At 40.9% G+C, this 18050-nt stretch overlaps 1 long non-coding RNA gene across 3 annotated transcripts, besides 1 other annotated feature; it reads right to left on the bottom strand.

Annotated features, from left to right (window-relative positions):
• Positions 862 to 921: an enhancer, noted in NCBI's record as "active region_24935". NCBI's record gives its function as "activates an Ori minimal core promoter by ATAC-STARR-seq in GM12878 lymphoblastoid cells {active_cell/tissue: GM12878}" and the evidence as "EXISTENCE:reporter gene assay evidence [ECO:0000049][PMID:35858748]".
• Positions 2688 to 16366, bottom strand: LOC105377941 (uncharacterized). Of its 3 annotated transcripts, none has more exons than XR_942866.3 (4): positions 16261 to 16366; positions 6105 to 6278; positions 5066 to 5238; positions 2688 to 2905 (listed from the first exon to the last, which is right to left on the bottom strand). It is a non-coding gene; the product is annotated as an uncharacterized LOC105377941 (long non-coding RNA). The 3 variants fall into 3 exon arrangements; XR_942865.3 differs by lacking the exon at positions 16261 to 16366 and adding an exon at positions 7438 to 7475; XR_942867.3 differs by lacking the exons at positions 6105 to 6278; positions 16261 to 16366 and adding an exon at positions 5707 to 5842.
• Positions 16367 to 18050: the final 1684 nt, after the last annotated feature.

Below are 18050 nucleotides of genomic sequence, written 5' to 3'. Positions count from 1 at the left end.
ACAGTCTGGCGTATTTTGGCACACCCAGCAACTCTGGCCCTCACCCTCTACAGGCCAACACTAACCCCCTATTTTTAGATAACCTCAAAAGTCCCTACAAATTTCTAGAAAGGCTCCTGGGATGTAATGGTTATAGTAAGATCCACTGACCTAAACCAAGACCCCCTGGAGATAGGATTATTACCATATAATCCAGCTTTACCCTAAGGGCCTAAGGTGAGCCCCCAAATGCCAGTTTACCGGTTCACTGCCCTGGTTCTCAAGGGGGTGCTGAGACCCATCAAAGGAGACAGCAGGTCAAACTAGGAGAGAAGGATGGTCTGCTTCCCCCTCAGGTTTCCATTTGTTCCATGCAGCAGTTGAGTTCCCATGCATACTTCTGTTTGAACAAAGGGTTCCTCCATTTTAAGAAGTGTTACATATGTTTTGGCAGTTGTGTGCAGCTTTATAATTGCCTTTCTGGGAGGGGACATGTTTATCTTCTCACCCCATCATGCCAGAAGTGAATGTTCAATTCAATTCTTGTTTATAGTTTCCACCTCTCTATTGAGACTCCCTGTCTGTTGAGTCATTGTCATTATAGTTTTCTTTAATTATTTGAACATATATGTAATAGCTGCTTTGAAGTCTTTGCTGAAACTAACTTCTGGGCCCACGCAGGGTCAATGAGTACTGCTGGTCCCTCATCTGAACCTCATATCTCAGGGTTCAGTCAGCACATTCACTTCCTGTGGTCAAAACTTCGTGGGAGACCACATCATTGTTCATAACCACTTTTAAAATTCATCATGAGAAATCCCTGTCCAAGGAGAGAAACCTCTGATGATGGAACAGCTGAGGAGAGATGACTCTGGGCTGAGAAAGAAGTATTAAGCAGGGCTGGGTGGCCTGGCTTGGTGGTCCGGGCCTTCTGGAGGCACTGCAATGCTGGGCATCTCCAGGAAGAAAGAAGACCCCTCCCACTAGCACTTCTTCCTCTTGCCAGCAGAGAGAGAGGATGCAGCGGGCCTGGACTCAGAACATAGGAGCTGGAAAGACACAAGACTCTCTGGCTTCAAGCTCAAGAGCTGATGAATTCATCCCACAGTCAGGATGCCATGGGGGCCTGGGATGGGTTAGACATACCTAACTCCTCAGCCAGCTTCTGGTCCCCTATTGTGCTTGTGTCCACCTTGTATACATCTGCCTCGGCCTTTCCTTTCCTGTCCTTTCGTGGCTGACCCCCACCGCCCCTGCATCTAACAACTCTATTTAGTTAAACACTGCCTATATTCTATCTGTTTATAGTAGAGGCCCTCAGCCTGGGAGCTACTTGTGAATATCTTCTCTTTGATCTATTGACAGCATAACCCTCAGAGAGTCATGTTATTTCTCACATTTCCAGCTCCCGAGGGCCTGTGTTTGCGTATCTGGGTACAGAGAAATTCCCCATCTTGATGGCGAGCTCTGGAGGGCACAGCACAGCTCTGGTCAGGAAGATCTGGGTCCCAGCCCCTCCCTGGTGCATGGTGTGTATGCCCCTCGGTGAGCTCTTTGGAGCCCAGTGTGTATTAAACTGTGAAAGGAAGACCACAGGGCTCATGCCAGGGCAAAATGAGCTAAGGATCATCCAGCATCCAGCTAAGATGTTATTGACAAACATGATCACCTTTTCCTGTCTCTTCATGGCAGGGGCCTTATTTCCCGTGCACCCCTACATCATCTAGCCCAGTTCCTGGTTCTCAGTTGCTGCTCAGTAAATATTTATTAGGGGAATTACCTGATGCTGGTCTCTTCTGCTTTTTTAATTGGTGGCTTTCACATTGTGTTCAGTGCAGTTTTAGGAGTTCTGACGAGGTGCCTGAGGGCCCAAGTGGGCCAGGGTGGGTGAAGCCAGCAAGGGTAGGTGAGAACTGATAAGAGTGGACAGTGGGGGAGTGGGATGAGTTGGGCTCTAGGCCTGCCCCTATGTTCACACTGCTAGTTTGCATTTAAATTGGTATAGGAATAATATTTTCTTCCTTGAAGAAGGAATTCTGTGATTTAAAGTTTGAAAATAGGCTGGACATGGTGGCTCACGCCTGTAATTCCAGTACTCTGGGAGGCCGAGGTGGGTAGATCACCTGAGGTCAGGAGTTCAAGACCAGCCTGACCAACATGGTGAAACCCTGTCTCTACTAAAAATACACACAAAAAATTAGCTGGGCATGGTGGCACACACCCATGATCCCAACTACCCAGGAGGCTGAGGCAGGAGAATCACCTGAACCCAGGAGGCTGAGGTTGCGGTGAGCCGAGATCACACCACTGCATTCCAGCCTGGGTGACAGAGCAAGACTCTGTCTCAAAAAAAAAAAAAAAAAAAAAAAAAAGTTTGAAAATAACTGCCTATGCTTTGAATAGTTTAGAGGAGGAATTTAATTTTATGAATGATGCAAATGTCTATCTCCATCTTCATTGTCCCAAACATTAGCCATTACAATTAAATTAAAAACTCAGTTCTAAGTTCTTCAGCCACACTGTTCATATTTCAAGTACTCAGCAGCCACATGTGGCTACTGGCTACCACTTTGGGCAGCACAGATATGAACATTCTTATCATTAGGTAACTGCTCAATGTGTTCATCTTGCCTACTACCCAGAGAGAGCAGATTTTTCAAGACAGGGGAATGGCAAAAGAGAAGGAGTTTAATACACAGAGAACTGGCTAAAGGGGAGATGGGAGTTTTATTATTACTCAAATCATCCTCCTCGAAAATGTGGAAGCTAGGGTTTTGCAAGGATAGTTTGGCAGACAGAGGACTAGGGAATTGGTACTGCTGATTGGTTGGGGATGCAACCATCGGGGTGTGGAAGCTGGTCCTGGTGCACTCAGTTGGCTTCTGGGTGGGAGCCACGGAAGAGTTGCTGGTCCCGGTGGGTCCATCTGGTCAGAAAGGCAAAAGCTTGAAAAGACATCTCTAAAGGCCAATCTTAGGTTCTACAACAGTGGTGTTATTTACAGGAGTAATTGGGGAAGCTGCAAATCTTGTAACCTCTGGAATAATGGCTGGTAATCATTTAGCTATGCCTACATGGTAGCAGAGTTCAGGCCCCTCTCATTCTCCTAACCTGGTGAGCTTCGATTAGTTTTACAAAGGTGGTTTAGTTTTGAGGACTATTATCATTTAAACTATACATTTCTCCCAAAGTTAGCTTGCCCCACACCCAGGAATGACCAAGGGCAGTTTGGAGATTAAAGGCAAGATGGAATTGGTTAGGTCAGATCTCTTTCACTGTCATAATTTTCTGTTATAATTTTTGCAAAGGCAGCTTCAGTTACAGAAAGTTCTGTTAGACGTTTCTGGGTCTGTATTTTCTATTGTTTAAGTCACAGGACTTAGTAGACAGACAGTGGCTGTATTCCCTGTGCTGTAATATGTTTGTGGGCTTAAAGGGTAAGTTGAGTTGTCCATGGATGTAGGTTTGAATCCTATTTATTAACTTGCTATTAGCCTACCTGACTGGCTTTACATTCCCTCCTCTGTACCAGGGAGGTTCAGTCACATCAGAGGTTTCCATCTACTTTATCTCCGAGGGTCCCTGTGATTGTGTCTTTGTTCTCTTGGACCCACACCCATGATGGAAATGAACTGCTTTATTAGGTAATGATTGGCTTACCCTCCCACTTTTGTTAACGAAGGCTATTTATAACTACCAACAAAAACCCTTGATCAGCATACGATTATCAGAATTCTTATAGTGAGTTGAAGTAGTTCCAACCCAAACTTAGAAACAGGACATTATGGTTAGCTTAGCACCTTATCTCTAGTAATTGTACAGTTTCCATGTGGCATCTTTCAAATATTGAAAATAACTTATCAGTGTTGTTCCCTGTCTCTATTACTACCTTCTCCCACCCTTAGGTCTTGTTAGGACTGCTTAAAGTTTTTTTCAGGTTTTTAAAGAGATTCTAGGTCCAGGGAGTGAAAAGCTTTTGAAAAAATAAAGTTAACAGAGTTTATTTGAGTGAAGAACAATTTATGAATCAGGTGGCACTCACAACCAGAAGAGGTCCAGAGAGCTCCGCTCTATAACATGGGCAGTGAGTATTTAAGACAGGAAAATGCTTGATGAAAGCAGAAACAAGGAACAAAAAGTGCATTGGTTGTTTCAAAGTTACTTTCCTCGTAAGGGTTAAAGCAGAGGGGACTTCCTTATCATGCTGGCTAAAGCTGGCCAGTTTGGAGATTTGGCATTAATTATGTTTCTCTCCTGATTTCTTGTTTCAGTTTGGTGACATGAAACTTTAGCATGAGTGACTCCATTTTGGTTTGGTCTGATGGGGCCTAGTGCAGGAGCTCAGTCCAAATTAACGGCCTCCTATAAATGTTATGTAACAATAGTCTCCCATTTTGGTCAGGCTATCACCTAGGTGAGTGTGACCAAAACTTAGGGCACCAGTGTTACTCTCATTCACCATCATTCCCAGTTCTTGACCTCAACATGTCACTCATAGGTCCTGGTGACCTTGATATCATGCTTTTCTTTGATTTTTAAAAATCATTCCAATCACATAGAGACCATTTGCCATTCAACTAATGCTGCACGCAAACGTTTTAGACCTTTTGAGAGGGAGACTACTATTATGACTGTCAGGAAGATAATACCAAGAGTGTGGTGTATGCCCCTTAGCCAGGGCTCCCATGCACCAAACCAACTAAAACAGACAAAGTAAAAACAAAGGTTAATGGCTAGAAACATGGTCTCTGAGTCCAGAGGGCAATCAGTCAAGAAGATTACCAGATGTTGGATTTGAAGCATCTTATATTTTTTAACCTTTTTTTTTCAGAGACAGGATCTCGTTATGTTGCCCAGGCTGGTCTTGAACTTCTAGATTCAAGGGATCCTCCTGCCTCAACTTTCTGAGTAGCTGGGGCTAGAGGCACATGCCACCATGCCTAGCTATTTATTTCTTCTTCTTATTATTATTTTTGGATATGGGGTTTCACTATGTTACCCAGGCTGGTCTTGAATTTCTGGCCTCAAGTGATTGTCCCACCTCAGCATTCTGAGTACCTGGGACTATAGGCATGAGCCATCATACCTGACTTTGAAGCATCTTTTGCAGTTTGAATGTTTCCAGTGATGTCTGAGCAGCTCACAGCAACAGGCACAAAAGTTGTCCATACGTAAGCTGTGGTGGTGAGTTCTCTTTAAGTCTAGATTAAGTTGTCCAGCTTCAGCTTGCAGGGCTTCCGGAAAAGGGCAGTTTTTGTTCTTAGTGATTCCAAGTCAGAAAGATAGGAGAAAATTGGAAATGTTAGTTTGAAGAGTTACAACCAGATATTGAAGGAAACTAAAAGAATCCAGGATCTAGTCCAGTTTACAAGTAAAAGCTTTACAAAATGAACAGAGCTAGAATCTAATAATGAGTGCACAATAGTTTTTCTCCTGAAACATAATTATTCTCTCAATCATCCCCATCCCCACCAAAGTCAATCATGGGAAGATCAATCAGCCTGCAAAACAAGTCTAATCTCATTAACATGGGCTGATCAGCTATACAAGTGTAACAAGAATAGTGATTGACCACACAAGCTCTTTTTATGCCTACTTTACTGAAACATTTGGTCAGGAATCTCAGATTAGACTTTTAAAAGCCTTTTGTCTAGTCTGTTTTGCATTGCTCTAAAGGAATACGTGAGGCTGGGTAATTTACACAGAAAAGATGTTTATTTGGCTTACAGTTCTGCAGGTTATACAAAAGTCATGGTGCAAGCATCTGCTTGGCTTCTGGTGAGGGCCTCAGGAAGCTTTAATTCATGGTGAAAGGCAAGGGGAACCGATGTGTCGCATAGCAAGGGAGGGAGCAAGAGAAAAGAGAGAGGAGGAGGCGCCAGGCTCTTTTAAACAACCAGCTCTTGTATGAACTAATAGAATGAGACTCACGCATTACTTCAGGGAGGGCATCAAGCCATTCATGAGGGATCCACTCCCATAAACCAAACACCTCCCACTAGGCTCCACCTCCAACAGTGGGGATCATATTTCAACATAAGGTGTGGAAGGGACAAATATCCAAACTATATCACCTTTCCAGACTAGGAAGCCAAGCCACGGACTCATCTCTCATGCCATCATACCTGTAATGCCAATAGGTTTGGATGAATTCTTCTCTTCTTCAGATCTTTAAAATATATTTAAAGTTTCTGGGCCTTCTTTTCATAAGGCTAAAAAACCCAGTAGTCTATGCACATTTTCAAATATGATGCTCCAGCCAAAGCCTTGGTAAAATAACCAATGTTTCCAATTGTATTCTGTTATAAAGAGAACAAATTCTTATTGAACTTATGCAGATAACTATATTGTCATAAAATAAGAATATTCAGCCAGGTGTGGTGGCTCACGCCTATAATCCCAGCACTTTGGGAGGTCGAGGTGGGAGGATTTCTTTTTATTTTATTTTATTTATTTATTATTATTATAATACTTTAAGTTCTAGGGTACATGTGCACAATGTGCAGGTTTGTTAGGTAGGTATACATGTGCCATGTTGGTTTGCTGCACTCATCAACTTATCGTTTACGTTAGGTATTTCTCCTCATGCTATCCCTCCCCCAGCCCCCCACCCCACAACAGGCCCCGGTGTGTGATATTCCCCTCCCTATGTCCATGTGTTCTCATTGTTCAATTCCCACCTATAAGTGAGAACATGCGGTGTTTGGTTTTCTGTCCTTGTGATAGTTTGCTGACAATGATGGTTTCCAGCTTCATCCATGTCCCTGCAAAGGACATGAACTCATCCTTTTTTATGGCTACATAGTATTTCATGGTGTATATGTGCCACATTTTCTTAATCCAGTCTATCATTGATGGACATTTGGGTTGGTTCCAAGTTTTTGCTATTGTGAACAGTACCGCAATAAACATGCATGTGCATGTGTCTTTATAGTAGCATGATTTATAATCCTTTGGGTATATACTCAGTAATGGGATGGCTGGGTCAAATGGTATTTCTAGTTCTAGATCTTTGAGGAATTGCCACACTGTCTTCCACAATGGTTGAACTAGTTTACACTCAGTGGGAGGATTTCTTGAGCCCAGGAGTTCAAGACCAGCCTGGGCAACATAGTGAGACCCTGTCTCTACAAAAAACAAACAAATCAGCTGGGTATCATGTTACATGCCTGTAGTCCCATCTACCTGGGGCTGAGGTAAGAGGATCACTTGAGCTTGGGAGGTCAACGCTGCAGGAGGCCATGATGATGGCACTGTACTCTGTCCTGGGCGACAGAGCACAACCCTTTCTCACTAACAGTTTCTGAATTATGGAGAGATCAAGTAGGGAGAAAAAAGGGATTGTTTCAATTATGTTACAAAGGTATAATTTACCAAATTCTTGTAAACTATAGATAGATTTTAAAAATCCCTTAAATCTGAAATACAAATATGCAAAAGATAATTTTAAAAAATTACTGCTGGATGTGGTGGCATATGCCTGTAGTCCCAGCTACTCAGGAGGCTGAGATGGAAAGACTGCTTGAGCCGAGGAGTTTGAGTCGAGCCAGCTTGGGCAACATGTCTCTAAAACAAAAACAAAACAAAACAAAAACTGAATTATTTCTCTCTCTCTCTCTTTTTGAGACAGTCTTGCCCTGTCACCCAGGCTGGAGTGCAGTGGCACAATCGTGGCTCACTGCAACCTCCGCCTTCAGGATTTAAGTGGTTCTTATGCCTCAGCCTCCTGAGTAACTGGGATTACAGGCATGTACTAGCATTCCCAGCTAATTTTTTGTATTTTTAGTAGAGACAGGGTTTTGCTGTGTTGGCCAGGCTGGTCTTGAACTCCTCGGCTCAAGTGATCTGCCTGCCTCAGCCTCCCAAAATGCTGGGATTACAGGCATGAGTCACTGCACCCAGCCTGATTCTTTTTCATCAGTTCATTTAGTTCCACATAATTAATTCTCATTTTGCTTGATGTTGGGCTAGCAACTTATGAACCAATTTGTTTCTTCATAAGAGTTCTGGAAGTTCTTTTTTTTTTTTTTTTTTTTTTTTTTTGAGACAGAGTCTCACACTGTTGCCCAGGCTGGAGTGCAGTGGTGCAATCTTGGCTCACTGCAACCTCCGCCTCCCGGGTTCAAGCGATTCTCCTGCCTCAGCCTCCCAAGTAGCTGGGATTACAGGCGCCCACCACCACGCCCAGCTAATTTTTTTTTTTGTATTTTTAGTGGAGACAGGGTTTCACCATGTTGGCCAGGCTGATCTCGAACTCCTGACCTTGTGATTCACCTGCCTCGGCCTCCCAGAGTGCTGGGATGACAGGTATGAGCCACCACACCCGGCCACTAGAGTTCTGGAAGTTCTTACTCAGTCCAATAGTATATTCCTAGGAAATTTATGGAAAGAACTCTGACAAGTACAGGTTTCCGGTAACATAGGAATATACTATTGGACTGTGTAAGAACTTAGAGTTCTGGAAGTTCTTATCCTTAGAGATACACTATTTTAGGATTATAGCTGCTTGCAAAACCTTTCAGGAGAGCATCAGAGTGAAACAATTTACTGTCTATGGATGACAAGACTTAAAATGGTCATGGTTGCGGTGGCTCACACCTGTAATCCCAGCACTCTGGGGGCCGAGGCGGGCAGATCACGAGGTCAGGAGATTGAGACCATCCTGGCTAACATGGTGAAACCCCGTCTCTACTAAAAATACAGAAAATTAGCCGAGTGTGGTGGCGGGCGCCTGTAGTCCCAGCTACTGCAGTGAGCTGAGATGGCGCCACTGCACTCCAGCCTGGGCGAGAGAGTGAGATTCCATCTGAAAAAAAAAAAAAAAAAAGGTCATGGTTAAAGATCTAATGAGAGTTTATTATGATAATGACACAACTGACAGGTAAAATCATTATTTCTGTGACATACAACATTTTAACATAATAACCAGAATTATGACTGATAACATTATGCCAGGACATATCAGACTTCTCGGAATTTCACATAATTTCTGGAACACGTAAACACTCAATCATGATTGCTTATTTGACAATGTTTATTCTGCAAATTTAATGTATCAATTAAGCCTAATTAGCTTAACATTTCTCTTTTATAAGAAGACCTTCCAGGGCCCCTGGGAGGTTCCAAAGTCAATGTGGGGTAAAAAAGGCTTAATTTTAAGAATTTGATTTTGGAAAGTTTGTCAAAAATACCAAAATGTTTGTCAATATTAATAGCAATGTTAAAGGTTTGATTTTTATCAATATCAAAGGCTTGGTTTGGAAAGTTTGTCAAAAATATCAAAACACTTCATTAACTAGGATCACAGATCATTATGGGACAGTACCAGAATGACAAAGGATTTTAAAGACAAATACAGAAAAGTTACACAGTTGAAAAAAAAAAATTTAACATTGAGAATGCTCTGTTTTCTTAATTAAAAGTTCTAATAAAAGACAAAATGGGCAATACAAAATATCTTCTACAACTTCTTCATTATGTTCATAAACTTTGTTACTGGGTGGCTTTGATGAGATTCAGATATTCAAAAGATACCTCTCCAACAGATACATTCTCAGCCTCTCGAGTAATGGTGATGGTATTTAATTATAAAGCATTATTCAGATGTTAATGAAATACTTTCACTGCATACTCATTTACTTCTTACAAGAACTCTGTCATGAAACTAAAAGCAGTTAAGCTAACATTAGAACTAAAAAATTTTTAGTTCTTTCTGTTGAAGCACCCTGTTTACAGATAGAAATTTTTACCTCCTGAGAGACATAAGTGTATCATGTGGTGAACATATATGCTCTTTTTTGGCTAAGCAGTATATATTTTCCTTTCTTTTAGTTAATGCTATTAATAATTTGAACTTCTAGGAGAACCACCCTAAGTACTTCAACTAGACTTAACTCTATCCCTGATTCCAGGGATGAACATGTGACTCAGACTGGCCAATCAGAGATGTCATTCCCCTGGCCTGTGACCCAATATAGGCCAATAAGAGTCAGGTACAGAACATTTATAGAAGAAAATATAAGAAACTGCACTGTGGGCAGCCATCTTGCTAAACATGTGGAGTCTAAGAAAGAAGCCAACAGAGCTGATATATCAGACACTTGGATCTGAGAACATAATTTAAGTTCCTGAACCCTGTCAAGCCAGAAGTCAAATTTACTTGTGAACTTTTTGCAAAATTTCCCCTTTTGCTTAAACTAGTTCATGTTAGATTTTCCTTATCAATTGTTGGTGAAATAGTGAATTTTATCTCATATGGATAAATAATTATTTAAACAAGAAAAGTTAAATACTGGAGAAGAGCTATGTCATTTTAATCACTTCTAGTTTCAGACGTTAGTCGGAAGCTTGAGGGACACTTATGTAGCTAGTCTGGCCCCAGGCATAGGATCTGAAAATATCCTACTCAGGATTTTGTGTCCTTCCTCATGAGGTCTACTGGAGCCCAGCACATGTAGAAGCTCAGTAGAAAACTTGTTGAATGTTGAATAAATCTGAGGTAGTGTGGACTTCCATGAAGCTGTAATATGTGTGCATGCCTTATGCCTGAAATAAACTGTTCATACGTATGCAAAAAAAAAAAAAAAAAAAAAAGACAGCATAAAGCACAGGAAATCATTTTGATGAAACATCAATTCTTTGTTTTCTAGGCAGAGCACTTAAGAAAACGTTTTTCCAATAAAACTTTTTTTTTTAACTTAGAGAAACCGGCTTCAAGTTTTGTACCAAGGTACTTTTGATATAAGGTTCAGTTTTTTTAAAACCCTTAAATAATTTTATTCAATTTTGACCATCTTGACCACATATAAAATTTCTCTTTCAAAAGCCTTCTAAAACTTAAAAAAATTTTTTTGAATTTTAAGTTCCAGGATGCATGTGCAGGACGTGCCAGTTTGTTAAGTAGGTAAACGTGTGCCATGGTGGTTTGCTGCACCTATCAACCCATCACTTAGGTATTAAGTCCTGCATGCATTAGCTATTTATCCTGATGCTCTCCTTCCCCCGACTCTCCCCACCAACAGGCCCCAGTATGTGTTGTTCCCCTCCATGTGTCCATGTGTTCTTACTGTTTAGCTCCCACTTATAAATGAGAATATGCGATATTTGGTTTTCTGTTCCTTCATAGTTTGCTGAAGATAATGGCTTCCAGCTCCATCCATGTCCCTGTAAAGGACATGATCTTGTTCCTTTTTTATGGCTGCACAGTATTCCATGGTGTATATATACCATATTTTCTTTATCCAGTCTATCATTGATGGGCATTTGGATTGATTCCATGTATTTGCTATTGTGAATAGTGCTGTAGTGAGCATATGCATGCATGTGTCTTTGTAATATTTGTATTTACATATTAATTATAATTTATAATATATATTACATATTATATTACATATTATATATAATTACATATAGTATATAATGTATATATTATATATTGACTTCCTCTCTTCCTTTTTGAATACCCTCTATTTCTTTCTCTTGCCTGATTGCCCTGGGCAGTACTTCCAATAGTATGTTGAATAGGAGTGCTGAGAGAGGGCATCCTTGTCTTGTGTAGTTTTTCAAGGTGAATGCTTCCAGATTTTGCCTATTCAGTATGACATTGGCTGTTGGTTTGTCATAAATTGCTCTTATTATTTTGAGGTCTGTTGAGAGTTTTTAACATGAAAGGATGTTGAATTTTATTGAAGGCCTTTTCTGCATTTATTGAGATAATCATGTGGTTTTTGTCTTTAGTTCTGTTTATGTGATGAATTACATTTATTGATTTGCATATGTTGAATCAGCTTTGCATCCCAGGTATGAAGCCGACTTGATTATGGTGGATAAGCTTTTTGATGTGCCACTGGATTCGGTTTGCCAGTATTTTACTGAGGATTTTTGCATCAGGGATATTGGCCTGAAGTTTTCTTTTTTTTGTTGTATCTCTGCCAGGTTTTGGTATCAGAATGATGCTGGCTTCATAAAATGGATTAGGGAGAAGTCCCTCCTTTTCAATTGTTTGGAATAGTTTCAGAAGGAATGGTACCAGCTCCTCTTTTTACCTTTGGTAGAATTCAGCTGTAAATCCATCTGGTCCTGGGCCTTTTTTCGTTGGTAGGCTAGTTATTACTGCCTCAGTTTCAGAACTTGCTATTGGTCTATTCAGGGATTCATTGTCTTCCTGGTTCAGTCTTGGGAGGGTGTATGTGTCCAGGAATTTATCCATTTATTCCAGATTTTCTAGTTTATTTGCATAAAGGTGTTTATAATATTGTTTGTATTTCTGTGGGGTCAGTGGTGATATCCCCTTTCTCATTTTTTATTGTGTCTATTTGATTCTCCTCTCTTTTCTTCATTAGTCTAGCTAGTGGACTATCTATTTTATTTTTTTCAAATAACCAGCTCCTGGATTCACTGATTTTTTTTGAAGGGTTTTTCATATCTCTATTTCTTTCAGTTCTGCTCTGATTTTGGTTATTTCTTGTCTTCTGCAAGCTTTGGGGTTTGCTCTTGGTTCTCTAGTTATTTTAGTTGTGATGTTAGGGTGTCAATTCTCTAACAAAAGCTAGAAAGTGAGATCTTTCTAGCCTTTTGATGTGGGCACTTAGTGCTGTAAGTTTCCCTCTTAACACTGCTTTAGCTGCATCCCAGAGATTCTGGTATGTCGTCTCTTTGTTCTCATTGGTTGCAAAGAACTTCTTGATTTCTGCCTTAATTTCATCATTTACTCAGGAGTCATTCAGGAGCAGGTTGTTCAATTTCTGTGTAGTTGTATGGTTTTGAGTGAGTTTCTTAATCTTGAGTTCTAATTTGATTGCTCTGTGGTCTGAGAGCCTGTTTGTTTGTTATGATTTCAGTTCTTTTGCATTTGTTGAGGAGTGTTTTACTTCCAAGTATGTGACCAGTTTTAGAGTAAGTCCCATGTGTTGCTGAGAAGAATGTATATTCTGTTATTTTTGGGTGGAGAGTTCTGTAGATATCTATCAAGGTCCACTTGATCCAGAGCTGAGTTCAAGTCGTGAATATCCTCGTTACTTTTCTGTTTCAATGATCTGTCTAATATTGACAGTGGTGTGTTAAAGTCTCCCACTATTATTGTGTGGGAGTCTAAGTCTCTTTGTTGGTCTCTAAAAACTTGTTTTATGAATCTGGGTGCTCCTGTATTGGGTGCATATATTTTTAAGATAGCTCCTCCTGTGAATTGAACCCTTTACCACTATGTAATGCCCTTTTTTGTCTTTTTTGATTTGTGTTGGTTTAAAGTCTGTTTTGCCAGAAACTAGGATTGCAACCCCTGCGTTTTTCTGCTTTCCATTTGCTTGGCAAATTTTCCTCCATCCCTTTATAATGAGCCTATGCGTGTCTGCACTGAGATGGATCTCGAATATAGCACACCAATGGGTCTTGACTCTATCCAGCTTGCCATTCTGTGTCTTTTTACTGGGACATTTGGCCTATTTACATTTAAGGTTAATATTGTTATGTGTGAATTTGATCCTGTCATCATGATGCTGGCTGGTTATTTTGCAGACTTGTTGATGTAGTTGCTTCATAGTGTCATTGGTCTTTGCACTTCAGCGTGTTTTTGCAGTGGCTGGTAACAGTTTTTCCTTTCCATATTTAGTGCTTCCTTCAGGAGTTCTTGCAAGGCAGGCCTGGTGGTGATGAATTCCCTCAGCATTTGCTTGTCTGAAAAGGATTTTATTTCTTCTCTGCCTATGAAACTTAGTTTGGCCAGATATGAAATTCTGGGTTGGAAATTATTTTCTTTAAGAATGTTGAATATTGACCCCCAATCTCTTCTGGCTTGTAGGGTTTCTGCTGAGAGGTCTGCTGTTAGTCTGATGGGTTTCTCTTTGTGGGTGACCCAGCCTTTCTCTCTGGCTGCCCTCAACATTTTTTTCCTTTGTTTTGACCTTGGAGGATCTGATGATTATATGTCTTGGGGTTGATCTTCTCATGGAATATCTTACTGGGGTTTTCTGGATTTCCTGAATTTGAATGTTGGCCTGTCTTGTTAGGTTGGGGAACTTCCCCTGGATGATATCCTGAAGTATGTTTCCCAACTTGGTTCTTTTCTCCCCATATTTAAACATAAACTAACATTTAGTCATTAATGCTTCAGTATTTTAACTTTTTTTTTTTTTTTGAGACTGAGTCTTGCTCTTTCATCCAGGCTGGAGTGCAGTGGTGTGATCTTGGCTCACTGCAATTTCCACCTCCCAGGCTAAAACAATTCTTGTGCCCCAGCCTCCCAAGTAGCTGGGATTGCAGGCATGCACCACCACGCCCTGCTAATATTTGTATTTTTAGTAGAGATGGGGTTTCACCATGTTGGCCAGGCTGGTCTTGAACTCCTGGCCTCAAGTGATCTGCCTGCCTTGGCCTCCTAAATTAATGGGATTACAGGTGTGAGCCACTGTGCCTGGCCTATTTAAACTTAATTAGAAATGACCCAGGCATTTAATGAATACCTATTACCTAATTAACTTACCATAACTTTAAAGCTTTTGAGCTACCAAAGAGAATTTTGAAACTATGAAAAGTTTACTTATAAACTTTTATCTCACTTACATTCACCTAATTCCCTTATTCTTAACAGTTATGCTTGAATTGCTCATGAAAATTTTCACAAGACATTAAACAAAACTAGTCATTATCAGGCTGGGTGTGGTGGCTCACACCTGTAATCCAGCACTTTGGGAGGGTGAGGCAGGTGGATCACTTGAGGTCAGGAGTTTGAGACCAGCCTGGCCAACATGATGGAACCCCATGTCTACTAAAAATACAAAAATTAGTCGGGCATGGTGGCATGCGCTTATAGTCCTAGTCACTCAGGAGGCGGAGGCAGGAGAATCTCTTGAACCAGGGAGCCGGAGGTTGCAGTGAGCTGAGATGGTACCAATGCATGCCAGCCTGGGCAACAGAGCAAGACTCTGTCTCAGAAACAAACAAACAAAAACTAGCCATTATCTTAAGTCATTTCCCTGTTAACTATTTTTACAGCATGTGCATATTAGGCAGTTATCATCAAAGCAAGAAACTAAAAGTTACATGCATGTTTTTTTACATGTAAGTCAGGAGAGGAGACACAGCTGTTTATCATTAACCCAAAAATATTTTTAAAAATTCTCTTTATTTTTACAACAATTATCTTAGAAAAATCAACAATATTAAACAAATCTTATTTACCAAAGTCATGTAAACTCTGAAAGCATTTGGGTTAGTTTCTGAACTTCCAAAGAGTTTAAGGAATCCTTAATTCATAAGAGTACATCTTTTCCTTTAAGCCAATCAAATGGATCTTCTTTAAGAGATTTTATAAATTAATTTGGAAATAGTATCTGAGGTAGGAAAATATGATATACATAACATATAAACAGACATACATAAATACACATGTTGGGGCTCAGAAAACAATACCCCAAAATGAAGGCAGCAGAAGCAGCCTCAGAAACGAAAGTTTTCTTCTGAACTTTTTCTCCCCTCTTGCTTCAGTCCTTTTCTCCCCCAAGGGTAGCTATAAAAACTAGAATCACTCTTCCCCAAGGCAGGTCATAGAAACCAGAACCCCTTTTCTTCAAAGCCAGCTGTGAAAACAAAACATATTACTCTGCCTTTCCCTCCACCTTTCTGTGTAAAAACTGGCTGTAAAGAAATGATCTGATCCATCTTGTTTGACTGTAGGTCATGAGACCCTCAATCCAGAGGGGGTCCTGCCCCACACCCAGAGGCAGGAATGCGTGCTCAGAGAGGCCAACAGGAATCTAGACGGGCCGTGCTGGGTTTCCCCGCTCAGTCTATTAGCATCAGATCATACCCTTTCTGTCCAATCATGTTTCTACATAGCTGTTCCTACTTTGTTGAACCTAAGCATAAAACTTCACTTGAATTCTTGGTCAACAGAAATTTCCCTTGTATCTTTGAGTCTTCATTCTGAAGGCTCCCATGTATACCTGTTGAATAAATTTGTTTGCCTTTTATCCAATTACTCTATCTTCTGTGAGTTGATTTTTCAGCAAATCTTCAGGGGCCAAAGAGAACTTTTCTCTTGCCCCAACAGAGTCCCAGACTCCCTGAATTTAAATGAACTCATTATTTTCTGTCTTCCTGAAACCTTTCCTACTAGAGGTCTTTTACTAAACCCGGTTCGGTTTTTGTCTAACTTAGTCGGATACCTAAAGCCTTCTTATAGAACCTAATCCAGTTTCTCTTGTGACTTCCACAGATAGTCTGGATCAAAACTGTTCATATAAAATTGGACACAAATAATGGAGCTCATATCCAAGGGGGACTTACCAGTGACACCCTCCAAATGTGCAAAGAGAAGCAGTGAGCACAAGTAACTCAGCAGAGTAGCCAGTCTGTTTGCTTGTTAATCCTGGAGTTCATCAATGTGGATCTCCTTTGAACCATTGCTTTTGACCATACATCTAATAAAATAAAACCTTAGACAAAATAAATTTAACAGAGTTTATTTGAGCAAATAATAATTCAAGAATCAGGTAGCTCTCACAACCTGAAGAGATTCAGAGAGCTCTGCTCTGCAATGTGGCCAGTGAGTATTTATAGACAAGAAAAGGCTGAAGAATGCAGAATCAAAGAATAAAAGATGGAGTGATCATTTCAAAGTTGTTTTCCTTGAAAGGGTTAAAGCTGGGGGGGGGATTTCCTTGTTATGCTGGCTAAAACTGGCCTGTTCGAGGATTTGGCTATTATCTCTCCCCTGATTTATCTGGAAGGTTAGATAAACAACTTAGTTTCAGTTTGGTGATATGAAACTTTAGCATGAGTGACTCCATTTTGGTTTGGTCTGATGGGGTCTAGTGCAGGAACCTAGTCCAAATCAGTGGCCTCCTATAAATTTTATTTAATAGGAGGTAATGATCCCAAAAGTTTAATGTGAGAATTTAGAAAATCAACTAAAAAAAGCCTAGTTATCAGCTGGGCGTGGTGGCTCATGCCTGTAATCCTAGCACTTTGGGAGGCTGAAGCAGGCGAATCACGAGGTCAGGAATTCGAGATCAACCTGGCCAACATGGGGAAACCCAGTCTCTACTAAAAATACAAAAAATTAGCTGGGCATAGTGGCAGGCGCCTGTAATCCCACCTACTCGGGAGGCTGAGGCAGGAGAATCGCTTGAAGCTGGGAGGTGGAGGTTGCAGTGAGCCAAGATCGAGTCACTGCATTCTAGCCCAGGTGACAGAGTGAGACTCCGTCTCAAAAAAAAAAAAAAAAAAAAAAAAAAAAGCCCAGTTATCAAATCTGTAAATCAAACAAAATCTAGAATATATAGACTTTTTTAGTGTAGAAAACAGGATATACTGTGCGGTTGCATTTATAAAGTACATATAGGGTGGGACTGTTGGCTATTGCAGAGTGAAGAGGTTGACAAATTCTCACCACAAAACTGGGCAACATTGTGAAAAACAATTTCAGGGCTATGGAAATCAACCAAAAGGAAACAAGGAATTAAGAAGTTTTTAGTTTGAAAATTTACTGGCCAGGCGTGGTGGCTCACACCTGTAATCCCAATAGTTTGGGAGGCCGAGGTGGGTGGATCACTTGAGGTCAGGAGATCGAGACCATCCTGGCCAACATGGTGAAACCCCGTCTCTACTAAAAATACAAAAATTAGCCAGGCATGGTGGCAGGCGCCTGCAGTCCCAGCTACTCGGGAGGCTGAGGCATGAGAATTGCTTGAACCCGGGAAGCGGAGCTTGCAGTGAGCCGAGATTGCGCCACTGCAGTCCGCAGTCCGGCCTGGGCGACAGAGCGAGACTCCGTCTCAAAAAAAAAAAAAAAAAAAAAAAAAAAAAGAAATGCTATGAAATCTCTCCACAGACCCCGAATGACCAGGAAACTATGCATATGCACAGGGGAAAGCCACGAGTGCCTTGACAAAAGTAAAAGTTAGGCAGACTTGAAAACAGAGTGAACTTTAAATGTATTCTTCATCCCACACACAGATCCATTAGCAGAGGATGGATCTTGTAGGCTTAAGGTGTTTGAGCACAGCCTCTGCCCAATCATTGGCTGACCACTAAACTAAGCTACAGGGACTACTCTTAGAAGGCCAGGCTGAAAG

Source organism: Homo sapiens, chromosome 6 (genome assembly GCF_000001405.40).
Source record: "Homo sapiens chromosome 6, GRCh38.p14 Primary Assembly".
Lineage (NCBI taxonomy): Eukaryota > Metazoa > Chordata > Mammalia > Primates > Hominidae > Homo > Homo sapiens.
The sequence above is the reverse complement of the archived record's forward strand: the minus strand, read 5'-3'. Positions and strand labels throughout refer to the sequence as shown.